The 13,157-nt window shown below is 39.9% G+C and overlaps 1 protein-coding gene across 6 annotated transcripts in view; it reads right to left on the bottom strand.

The window, feature by feature from the left end:
• The window catches only part of TYW1 (tRNA-yW synthesizing protein 1 homolog), a 242,682-nt gene that overhangs the window by 151,691 nt on the left and 77,834 nt on the right, over positions 1-13,157 (bottom strand). For 5 of the 6 annotated variants that reach the window (NR_134540.2, NM_018264.4, XM_011516372.4 and 2 more), the window contains one exon: positions 4,285-4,394. The exons of the other annotated variant lie outside the window; for it this stretch is intronic. Coding sequence is in view for 4 of the 5 variants with exons in the window: in NM_018264.4 (NP_060734.2) it covers positions 4,285-4,394 (110 nt within the window). In the remaining variant the exon portion in view is untranslated. The remainder of the gene's footprint in view (positions 1-4,284; positions 4,395-13,157) is intronic. 6 annotated transcript variants of the gene reach the window in all.

Genomic DNA, 13,157 nt, shown 5'->3' with positions numbered 1-13,157 from the left:
TATGCCTACGTGCTGACCCATCTACACCCTCCGCACCTTCAAACATGCACCTGTTTTCTGCTAGCTTCAAGAAAAACTGCTTTGCTAACCTGAAGAACATCAATGCACAAATATTAACCAGTTCCACTCTGAAAACCCTTCCAGCAAATTTGTTGCTGATTAAATACACTGAGGTTTTCCTGACATGGTAACGTGTTATCAAGTCAATCCATTCAGATATGAAAAAAAAAATCCGTTGTAGGAATTACCAGGGTAAAATAGATACTGTATAAATACCATTTTTAAGAATGAAATTGGTGGCAGTTGTTGAATTTCTGGGGATCATTCCTTCCATCTTATGCATTCTAATGCCTACTCAGGATTCACGCATCCATAGACGTGCTCTATTCTTTCTCTCTGCTATCCTGCATCCTATCATCCCTCAAGAGAATATAAATTTTAAAACTCTTTTGTTTTCCTCACATCATAAGAACCCATAGACAAACCATTTGAGATGCCTGCTGATTAACGTTAAGCCTAAGGTCACTATTGGACACCCCTTTCTGCACAGGACAGGACCCTCAACAGGCCCAGCAGACAATGAAAAACACGTGCTCACGGAACTCACCTAACACATTTTATTAAAATCAACAAAGTCTACCTCATGGTTTATTCATTACATATTTCCATTTAAAGTGCATTTGCAAAAACGCTCCTGTCAGAAAAATTACTATCCAAACTCAGATCGTCATTCTGTAGGAAGGACATTTCAGCATAAAGAAATGAAGGTGTCTATTCTTCAAGGCAGTGCTGATTCCTCCTCACACAAACTGCCCGAGACACAGTTCATTCAGGGAGACTCCAGGATGTCCAGGAAACACACATCCTCAGTCATCGTCCCATTAGCTCCTTAAGCACTAACTCAAAAATCAACTTCATATAAAAATAAAAGTACTGGCATTTCCTGCTTCTGATATTACTATCTGTGATGGTTAATTTTATGTGTCAACCTGTCTGGGTCACGGCGTCCAGATATTTGTTCAGCCATTATTCTGGATGTTTCTGTGGAGGTGTTTTGGATGAGATTAACATTTAAATTGCTGGGCTTTCAGTAAAGTAGATTGCCCGTCATAATGTGGATGGACCTCATCCAATCATTTGAAGGCTTTAATATAAAAAGATTGACCTGTTCCAAGCAAGAAGGAATTCTGCCAGGATAATGCCTTTGAACTTGAACTCCCACTCTTCCCTGAGTCTCCAACCTCCCAGTCAACCCATGAGATGTTGAACTCACCAAGCCTCCACAAATACATGAGCCAACTCCTAAAAATGAACAAATGAATCTCAATCTCAGTCTCTCTTTCTGTCTCTCTCTCTCTCCCCTCACACACATTCACATACACATACACATACACATACACCCACTGGTTCTGTTTTTCTGGAGAACCCTAACACACTCTCCAAAGGAAAATAAGACTTTGCCTTGAAATTTATTAAAAAGACACATAGCTTACTTGAAGATCAACAATCAATTATTAACTAAACCAACAATGAGTCTAGGAAAAGCCAGTCAAATTCCAGATGTGGGGCTTACTAGTTCTTTACCAACAGTTTCATTTAATTTTCCAAAACACTGGTAAGAGACACTGCTTTATCCAAGTATAAGAATGTAACTTGTACCCCACCTCCCGCCATCGAAAAATGCTTGAAACTAAAAATCAAGATGAGAAATTAAAATAATCATTAGCTTCTTTGTAAATGTACAAAAAAAAGTCAGCCTATCTACAGATACACACAAATATGTACAGGTCAACTTTCCCTAGAAAATTCATAAAGAAAAAAAGTATAATTATTGACTAATTTTTTTTTTTTTGAGATGGAGTCTCACTTTGTCACCCAGGCTGGAGTCCAGTGGAGTGTGAACTCAGCTCACTGCAACCTTTGCCTCCTGGGTTCAAGAGATTCTCCTGCCTCAGCCTCCCAAGTAGCTGAGATTAAAAGGCACACACCACCATGCCTGGCTAATTTTTGTATTTTTAGTAGAGATGGGGTTTCACCATGTTGGCCAGGCTGGTCTCGAACTCCTGACGTCAGGTGATCCGCCTACCTCAGCCTCTCAAAGTCCTGGGATTACAAGCGTGAGGCACCGTGCTAAGCCTACTGAATAATTATCTTTTATAAATTACTACTGATCTTGAACCATTATTTGCATGACTTTTCTCCATTTCTCATAAAAATGAGAAATAAGTATGAGCCCATTTTCATACTGCTATAAAGAACTGCCGGAGACAGGGTAATTTATAAAGGAAAAGAGGTTTAATTGATTCGCAGTTCAGCATGGCTGGGGAGGCCACAGGAAATTTACAATCACAGCGGAAGGCAAAGGGGAAGCAAGGCACCTCCTTCACAAGGCAGCAGGAAGGAGAAGTGCAGAGCAAAGGGGGAAGAGCCCCTCATAAAACCATCAGATCTCGTGAGAACTCACTCACTATCATGAGAACACCATGGGGGAAACAGCCCCCACATTTCAATTACCTCCACCTGGTCTCTCTCAACGCATAGGGATTATGGGGATTATGGAGATTACAATTCAAGATGAGATTTGGGTGAGGGGAACAAAGCCTAACCATATCAAGTGGTAAGGAGTATTATAATATTACGAATGAGTGGCCAGAACAGAACAAATTTCCTTACGTGAAAGAATCATCTGATCTTCAGAATGCTAATTACTGAGGTTTCTAAAGACTCCCATATGCGCTATTAATACCTTAAGAGTGTCTATATTAAAACAGTCTTGGCTGGGACTATTTTTTAATGGTTGCATATGACGGAAAAGAAGAATACAGGAGAGAAGGAATCACCAGTGGTAGGTAGAGACCAGAGCATAGAGATTCAACAGGGAACCTAACAAATTCCAATTCATCACCTACAGCTGTTGCTTTATGAAGACATCACATGTACAGTAGTGGTTCTCAAAGCATGGTCCCCAGTTGAACAACATCAACACCAACCAGAAACCTGTTAGAAATGCACATTCTCAGGTGGCTCACACCTGTAATCCCAGCAATTTGGGAGGCCAAAGTGGGTGGATGGCTTGAGTCCAAGAGTTTGAGACCAGCCTGGACAACATGGCTAGACCCCATCTTCACAAAAAATTAGCCAGGTGTGGTGGCCCGTGCCTGTAGCCCCAACTACTCAGGAGGCAAGGCTGAGGTGGGAGGATCATCTGATCCTGGGAAGTGAAGGTTGCAGTGAGCCAAGATGGCACCACATACTCCAGCCTGGGTGACAGAGCGAGATCTGGTCCAAAAAAAAAAAAGAAGAAAGAAAAAAAAGCATACTCTTGGGCTTACTGACCCAATCTCTGGGAAAGGAAACCAACAATCTGTGTTTTAACAAGCTCTCCAGATGATTCCGATGCATGATAAAGTTTGAGAACCAGTAACCTCCAGTGAAGTCAATATTTGTTAATATGAGACAGAATTAAATCAGGAAATTCAAAAAAATGGAGTGGCTGAATTTTTACCACATTACTGTGCATTAGATGGAAGAAACTGTTATTTATATTATCCCTCCTTTTTTTTAAATAAGGAATTCATTCAAAACGGTTTTCCCATCACTAACTAACATTATTTAAGACTTTCCACTAACCTAAAATTTCCAATCCATTCAAAAGGCTGCTCAGCTCAGCCAGACAGAACAACAGCAAAGGTTTCTAGGAAGATTGATGGTACATTCCCAGGTAAAGCTTTCAGGCTGAATGCAGCATATTATAAGTTGCTAAACTTTTTATTTATTTATTTATTTCTGAGATGGAGTTTCGCTCTTTTTGCCCAGGTTGGAGTGGAGTGGAGAGATCTTGGCTCACTGCAACCTCTGCCTCCCAGGTTCAAGCAATTCTCCTGCCTCAGCCTCCCAAGTAGCTGGGATTACAGGCAACCACCATCATGTCCAGTTAATTTTTGCATTTTTAGTAGAGACGGGGTTTCACCATGTTAGCCAGGCTCATCTCGAACTCCTGACCTCAGGTGATCCACCCGCCTCGGCCTCCCAAAGTGCTGGGATTACAGGCGTGAGCCAGCACACCTGGCCAAGTTGCTACATTTTAAATTTTTAGTTCTTCCATCATATGGGACGTAAAAGCTAAAAAGGCAAAATATATATAATATTCCTACAAAGTTTTCACTTCCTTAGAGGAAAATTTGCCAGTGGGGACAAAATCCTACCAAAGAGGCAATTCTTCTGCCAATCTGATTCAGACTATTAACAGGTATTAGCATTCCTTTGTAGAGGGAAGATAAATACCTTTAAACTGCTTAATCATGTTCTGATGGTTTTCAATGGCTTCCTTCAAGATCATTTCAGGCTGGTCCATCTTCCACCGCCACTCAGTGCCCACGGGGTTGGTGTGGTGCCTAGGAACAAGATGCAAAGTTCTAAAAGACCCTTCTGTAATAAGATCTGGGCTAGTCATTTATGATGAAGTCATCCATTTTTAAAAATCACAAAATCAGGACTGGTTTCCTCCTAAGAGTTCAACCATGTATAGTGGTATTTTCCAACTTATTTTAAATCATGACACCCAACAGAGAGGGGTGAATAGAGAAATCATTCAACTCTTCCCAGAGATGTTGGGCACCTAACTCACTCAATTCCAGTTACAGGTTGACAGAACGCTCTCTGCTGCTTTAACCATGTTAACTGTGAATGTACACAAACAAGGCAAACTGTCAACACCATGTTACTGTCATCTACGTCGACACTTCATAAAGTGAGTGACGACAGCTGGAACACTTGCTTGGAAATCACACTGACAGGGCCTGAGAATGAGTTTCTCCTGATGCAGGCCTGGGGAAAGGACAAGAACCTCCACCTGGGACCCAAGCAGCTACAACACAATGTCATTTTGAGACCAAAACCACTGCTAGAGTGTATCCTGCCCTGGGAGCCAAAGCCCCTGTATCTCCATATTCCTGAGGTCCCACCACCATCACTCCATGGCCATACAAAAGATTACAATGCCATAACCCAAGCTATACCTAGCAGTACAACCATATCCAAGCACCTGAGCCCATGCAGAACCTTGTAGTCCAAAAAAACAGGCAGCGCAGTACAGCAAGGAGACCACCCCCAAGACAGACACAACGCCAGGGCCCAAGGACCAGCTCCCCAGTGTCCACCACTGCCAACCATCTCAACCTCCCGACAGGCAGAACTACCATGTGCCCTTCAGGCCCCTCAAGGCCCAAGGACCATTCTGCCCAGAAACCAGCACCACTGAAGACACTACCCCCATAAGCAACAGAGCTGCCAGAAATAGCACAAGCTCCCCTAGGGTCTAAGGACCAGCAAGCCCAGCAATACTGCCCCTAGCAAAGTCATGCCACTGCCTCCACAAACACCCACAGTCCAGGCCAGTGAGGCACTCATAGGAACCACAGGCACCGATTATGGCCAAAGAAATCACATGTACACTACTATACTACTACACTACTGTACCCGTCTAGAGGACAAGTCAAAGCACCCCACTCAACCAACACTATAAAATACTTCTCCAGGAAAGTCTTTCCCTACGAAAACTACTCCATAAAAATGGAAGGGGTGACTGTTATACCAGATGTGCAGATATCAATGTAGTAAAAAACAAAAACATGAAATAGCAAGAAAACATGACACTCCCAAAGAAACACAATAATTCTCCAGTAACAGACCTGAAAGAAAAAGGAAAATCGAGGCCTGTAACAGAATTTAAAATAATGGTCTTAAGGAAACTCAGAGAGATACAAGAGAATACACATAGACAATTCAATGAAATCAGGAAAAGAATTCATGACCTAAATGAGAAATTCAAGAGAGATAGATATCACAAAAAAACAGCCAAACAGAAAACTTGAAGGTGAGGAATTCGATGAATGAAATAAATACAACTCAGAGTTTCAACAACATACTAGATCAAGGAGAACAAACAATGTCTGAATTTGAAGACAGGACTTTTGAAATGACCCAGTCAGACCAAAAAAAAGGAAGGAAGAAGAAGAAAGAATAAAAGGAGAAAAGAAAAAGAAAAGGAAAAGAAGAAGGAAGAGGAAGAGGAGAAGATGAGAAAAAGAAAGAAGAAAAGAAGAAGAAGAGAGAAGGGAGAAGGAAGAAAGGATAGAGGAGAGAGGAGGAGGAACAGCAGGAGGAGGAGCAGCAGCAGGAGGCGTAGGAAAAAAAGCCTACAGGAATGATGGGACACCATTACATGAACAAATGTTTGCATTTAGGAATTCCAGAAGGAGAACAGGTGGGAAAAGGCATGGAAAAGTAAACAGGTTTTAATGAAATAAAAGCTGAAAACTTCCCACATTTGGGGAGAGATATGGACATTCAGATCAAGCAAGCTAAAAATTCCTCAAATGGATTAAATGCCAAAAAAAAAAAAAAGCCACCTTGAGACACATTATAGTCGAACTGTCAAAAGACAATGACAAAGAGAATTCTAAAAACAGCAATTGAAAAGCATCACGTCACATGTAAGGAAACCTCCATAAGAATAACAGCAGATTTCTCAGCAGAAACCTCACAGGCCAGGAGAGAATGGGATGATATATTCTAAGGGCTGGAAAAAAAAAAAAAAAAAAAGACCACCAAGCAAAACTGTCCTCTGGAAATGAAGGAGAAATAAAGCCTGTCCCAGACAAGTAAAAACTGAGGGAATTCATCACCACTAGACTGGCCTTACAAGAAAAGCTTAGGGACTCCTATATCAGGAAGTGAAAGAATAATTACCATCATGAAAATACACAAAAGTATAAACTCACTGGTAGGGCAGATATACAAATGAGAAAAAAAAAAAGGATTCAAATGTTACCGCTATGGAAGACCACCAAACTGCAAAAAAAAAAAAAAAAAAAAAAAAAAACAGTAAGAAAGCAAAAACAATATACAAAACAACATGAGTAAGTCATCATCTACCATGAATAACCTTGAATGTAAATGGATTAAAGTCCCTTGTTAAAAGATATAAACTGGCTGAATGAATTTTAAAAAAAAACACCCAACTATGTGTTGCCTACAAGAAACTCACTTCACCTGTAAAGATATACACAGACTGAAAGTGAATGCGATGGAAAAATACATACCACACAAACCAAAACCAAAAGCAGCTGGGTGTGGTGGCTCACGCCTGTAATCCCATCACTTTGGGAGGCTGAGGCAGGGAGAATCACGAGGTCAGGAGTTCGAGACCAGCCTGGCCAACATGGTGATACCCCATCTCTACTAAAAATACAAAAATTAGCCAGGTGTGGTGGTGGGCAATCCCAGCTACTCAAGAGGCTGAGGCAGAAGAATTGCTTGAACCTGAGAGGCGGAAGTTGCAGTGAGCCGAGATTGTGCCACTGCACCCCAGCCTGGGCAACAGAGCAGGATTCCATCTCAAATTAAAAAAAAAAAAAAAAGTAAGCAAGAGTAGCTATCCTTGTATAAGATAAAATAGACTTTAAGTCAGAAACTGTAAAATGAGACCAAGGAAAAGGTCACTGTATAATGATAAAGGAATCACTGCAGCAAGAGGATCTAACAACTGTAAATATTTATGTACCTAACACTGGAGCACTGAGATATAAAGCAAACATTATGAGATCTAATGGGAAAGATAGACTCTACTACCATAATAGTTGGGGGCATCAACATCACACTCTCTCAGAATTGGACAGATCACCTAGACAGAAAATCAGTAAAGAAACACCAGATTCAAACCACAGGCCAAACTGACCTAACAGACACTGACAAAATATTTCATACTACACCTGCAGAATACACGATCTTCTCATCCATACATAAAATATTCTCCAGGGCAGACCATATTTTAGTCTCAAAAAATGTTAAAAAATCAAAATCCTATCAAGTATGTTTTTGGACAATGGAATACAACAAGAAATCAGTCATAAAAGGAACTTTGGAACCTATATAAAGTAATGGAAACCAAATAGCACACTCTTGAACAGCCAATGAGTCAATGAAGAAAGCAAGAAAAAAATTTAAATATGTACTGAAACAAATGAAAATAGAAGCAAATGTCAAAACTTAAGGGACAGAGCAAAAGCAGTACTAAGAGGGAAGTTTATAATAATAAACAACTATATCAAAAATGTAGAATCATTTCAAATATCAATCTAACAATGCACTTCAGGGAACTAGAAAAGCAAAAACACACCAAACCCAAAATTACTAGAACAGAAAAAAATAATAATCAGAGCAAAAATAAATGAAGTTGAGACTAAAAGAACACAAAAATCAACAAAACAGAAAGTTCATTTGTTAAAAAGATAAACATCGACAAACCATTAGACTAACCAAGAAAAAAAAAAAGATCCAAATAAATATAATCAGAAACAAAAAAAGAGACATTACTACTGATACCACAGAAATACAAAGAATCATTAAAGACTGTTATAACCAACTGTACACCAACAAATTGGAAAACCTAGAGGAAACGTAGAAATTCCTGTACACACACAACCTACCAAGAATAAACCAGGAAGAAAGAGAAAACCTGAACAGATCATTAACAAGATTAAATCAATTATAAAAAGTCTTCCAACAAAGAAAAAAGTACATGGCCAGATGGCTTCCCTAATAAATTCCACCAAACCTAAAACACACACACACACACACACACACACACACCTCTCACACGAATACTTTTCAAACTATTTCAAAAAATTAAGGGGGAAGAAATTCTTAGAAACTCAGTATTATACGAGGCCAGTATTACCCTGAAAACAAAACAAGACAAAAACACAACAAAAAAGAAAAGGAAAATAGCATGCCAATATCCCTGATAAACAAAGGTATAAAAATCCTCAGCCAGGCGCGGTGGCTCACGTCTGTAATCCCAGCACTTTGGGAGGCCAAGGTGGGCGGATCATGAATTCAGGAGATCGAGACCATCCTGGCTAATACAGTGAAACCCTGTCTCTACTAAAAAAATACAAAAAGTTAGCCAGGCGTGGTGGCAGGCATCTATAATCCCAGCTACTCAGGAGGCTGAGGCAGGGGAATCGCTTGAACCCAGGAGGTGGAGGTTGCAGTGAACCGAGATTGTGCCATTGCACTCCAGCCTGGGTGACAGAGCGAGACTCTGTCTCAAAGAAAAAAGAAAGAAAAAAAAGAAAATTTCATATCACTGAGGAAAGAAATTGAAGAGAGCACACACAAAAAAATGGAAAGATACCCCATCTCCATGGGTTGGAAGAATAAATATAGTTAAAGTTATCATACCACCCAAAGCAATTTACAGATTTGATGCAATCCCTATCAAACCACCAAAGACATTTTTCACAGAAATAGAAAACAATTCTAAAAATCACATGGAACCATTAAAATCCCCAAATAGCCAAAGAAATCCTATGCAGAATGAACACAGCTCAAGGTATTACAGTACATGACTTCAAAATATACTATAGCCAGGTGCAGTGGCTCACACCTCTAATCCCAGCACTTTGGGAGGCTGAGGCAGGAGGATCACAAAGTCAGGAGTTCAAGACCAGCCTGGCCAACATAGTGAAACCCCATCTCTACTAAAAATACAAAAAATTAGCCAGGAGTGGTGGCAGGCACCTGTAATCTCTGTTACTCGGGAGGCTGAGGCAGGAGAATCACTTGAACCGGGCAGGTGGATGTTGCAGTGAGCTGAGATCACATCATTGCACTCCAGCCCAGGCAACAGTGTAAAACTCCATCTCAAAAAAAAAACAAAAACAAAAAACAAAAAATAAACTATAAACCTACTGTAACCAAAGCAGCATGGTATTGACATAAGAACAGACACATAGACTCAACAGAACAAAATAGAGAACCCAGAAATAAATCCAAATATTTACAGGAAACCAATTTTTGACTAAGGTGCCAAGGTCATGCAGTGGGGAAAGACAATATACAAAAATCAACTCAAGACAGATTAACGACATAAACGTAAGACCTGAAACTGTGAAATTACATACTGTGAAAACACAGAGGAAACACTTTAGGACACTGGTCTGGGCAATGATTTTATGAATAGAACTTCGAAATTACAGGCAACAAAAGTAAAAACAAATAAATAGGATGATATCAAACTAAAAAGCTGCTGCACTGCAAAGGAAACAATCAACAGGGTAAAGAGACAACCTGCAGAATGACAGAAAATATTTCCAAACCATTCATCAAACAAGGGATTAATATCCAGAATATACAAAAAATTCAAACAACCCAACAGCAAAAAAACCCACAAATAATCTGATTTTTAAAAGGTCGAATGATGTAAATAGACATTTCTCAAAAGAACATATACAAGTAGCCAACAGACACATTTTTAAATGCTCAACATCACTAATCATCAAAGAAATGCAAATCAAAACCGCAATGAGATTCCATCTCACCCAAGTTAAAATGACTATTATCAAATAATAACAAATGCTGACAAGGATGTGGAGAAAGGGAACTCTTATACACTGTTGTTGGCAATGTAAACTACCACAGTCATTATGGAAAACAATATGGAGATTCCTCAAAAAACTAAAGCTAGAACTACCATATGATCCAGCAACCCCACTACTGAATATACATCCAAAGGAAAGGAAATCAGTATGTTGAAGACATAGCTGCATTCTCATGCTTATGGCAGCACTATTCACAATCACCAAGATACAGAACCAACCTAAGTGTCCATCAGCAGATAAATGGATAAAGGAAATGTGATATATATTCACAATGGAATATTATTTAGCCCTATAAAAAAGAATGAGGCTGGGCATAGTGGGTCACGCCTGTAATCCCAGCACTTTGGGAGGCTGAGGCCAGTGGATCACTTGAGGTCAGGAGTTTGAAGCCAGCCTGGCCAACTTGGTGAAATCCCGTCTCTACTAAAAATATAAAAAATTAGCCAGGTGGTGGCACGAGCCTGTAATCCCAGTTAGTCAGGAGGCTGAGGCAAGAGAATCACTTGAACCTGGGAGGTGGAGGTTGCAGTGGGCCAAGATTGTGTCATTGCACTCCAGCCTGGGCAACAGCAAGACTCTGCCTTAAAAAAAAAAAAAAAAAAAGGCTGAGTGCAGTGGCTCAAGCCTGTAATCCCAGCACTTTGGAAGGCCAAGGGAGGCGGATCACCTGAGGTCAGGAGTTCAAGATCAGTCTGGCCAACTTGGCAAAACTCCACCTCTACTAAAAATACAAAAATTATCCAGGCTTGGTGGCGTGTGCCTGTAATCCCAGCTACTTGGGAGGCTGAGGGACAAGAATCGCTTGAACCTGGGAGGCAGAGATTGCAGTGAGCTGAGATCAGGCCACTGCACTCCAGCCTGGGCAAAAGAGCGAGACTCTGTCTAAAAAAAAAAAAAATTCACATACCATAAAATTCTCCTATTTAAGGTTTATAAATCATTGGCTTTTGCTATAATCACAGAGTTGTGCATTGTTAGAAATGCTTGTTCCCCAGTGTCACAAAGAAATAGCAACTGAACATAAATTTAATTTTCTCAGCAAGGCCATTTTTTTACTTTCTGCAGAAAGGGTACACTCGCCAGCACTTCTGCCATGAGAGTACACTGAACAAAGGAGACAGGGACATTTATAACCTGAAACATTCACCCTACTGCTGTTACCAGTTTCCATTGGCTGGAATGGGACCTCACATTCTGTATTTGTCCCAATTGGCTAGCAACTTAGAACTTTTCAAAAGAGGCAAAGGCAGAGGAGAACAAAGGAAGGAGGAAGTAAATTGTGGAATGCTCAGAAAGGTAAAAACACCTCCGAATAAAGAAGAGGAATAGGCTACGACTTAATGCTTGCTTTGACCAGTATAAGTATGCCAGGGAAAATATTTAGGCTAAATTGTGGGAGCTAAGAACACAAAGTACATTGATTTCTTTATTACAGCTAGCAGATATCTAAGAATGTTAGCACAGGTCTTTGAATAAATTTTGCTTCTAAGAGAAGTTACTATTTATTCTTAATTAGATGGGGAGGAAAGTCTCTTTGAAGAGGAGCCTCTACTTCACTTTTTACATGCATCCATGACCAAAATCCATTTTAAATGTTTTGTCATTCCCAAAAAGAAACCCTATCCCCTTGGGTATTGCTCCTCAACCCCCATATTCCCTCCGGCCCTAGGCAACCACTATTCTACTTTCTGTCTCTACAGATTTGTCTATTCTAGGCAATGCACAGAAATGCAATCTTACTATAGATGCAGCCTGTTGTGATCGGCTTCTTTCACTTAGTATAATATTTTCAACATTAATCCATGCTGTAGCATGTATCAGTACTTAACCTCTTTTTATTGACAGATGACATTCCTTGGAATGGATACACCACATGTTCATCAGTTAATGGACACCTAGAGTATATCTACTTTTTGGATATTATGAATATCTTTTCATGTGCTTACTGGTCATTTGTATATCTTCTTTGGAGAACTGTCTAACAAGATTTTTTGGGTTATTTCTTCAAGACAGATATAACTCTTTCCTCCACCCTGCCCCCACTTCACAGGCTAACCCAGGAGCAAGGAAAACAGACAAAACCCTTGATTCAAAATTTCAAAGAATAAAACCTTAAAATAAAATTTTAAAAACAGGAATAAGAGACACACAATGGTAAATATGTGGTATCTATACATACATAAAAATACCCAATATATCCTTCTGAAAATTGGTGGAACAGCATTTTATCTATCCATAACAGTCTACTTCACATATAATCAAAATAAAGTAAAAATTTCACTTTGAAAAAATCACATCTATGTACATCATGTTGTAGTTTAAAAACACAGTCATTGGTCAGGCCCGGTGGCTCACGCCTGTAATCCCAGTTATTAAAAATACAAAAATCAGCTGGCATGGTGGCACATGTCTTTAGTCCCAGGAAGGCTGAGGCAGGAGAATCGCTTGAACCCAGGAGACAGAGGTTACAGTGAGCCAAGATCACACCACTGCACTCCAGCCTGGGTGACAGAGCGAGACTCCATCTCAAAAGAATAAAAAAAAAAACCCACTGTCATATACAGAATCTCACTCAAGCAATTAAGCCTTACAGCAACCCTGTAAGGAAGGTATGTTGTTTTATTCTACAGTTGAGAAACTGAGGCTCAGAGGCTATTTTAAGAATCCACTGCAAGAAAAGGACAATAATAAAAGCATTTATGTAACATTTAA

Source organism: Homo sapiens, chromosome 7, assembly GCF_000001405.40.
Source record: "Homo sapiens chromosome 7, GRCh38.p14 Primary Assembly".
Lineage (NCBI taxonomy): Eukaryota > Metazoa > Chordata > Mammalia > Primates > Hominidae > Homo > Homo sapiens.
The sequence above is the reverse complement of the archived record's forward strand: the minus strand, read 5'-3'. Positions and strand labels throughout refer to the sequence as shown.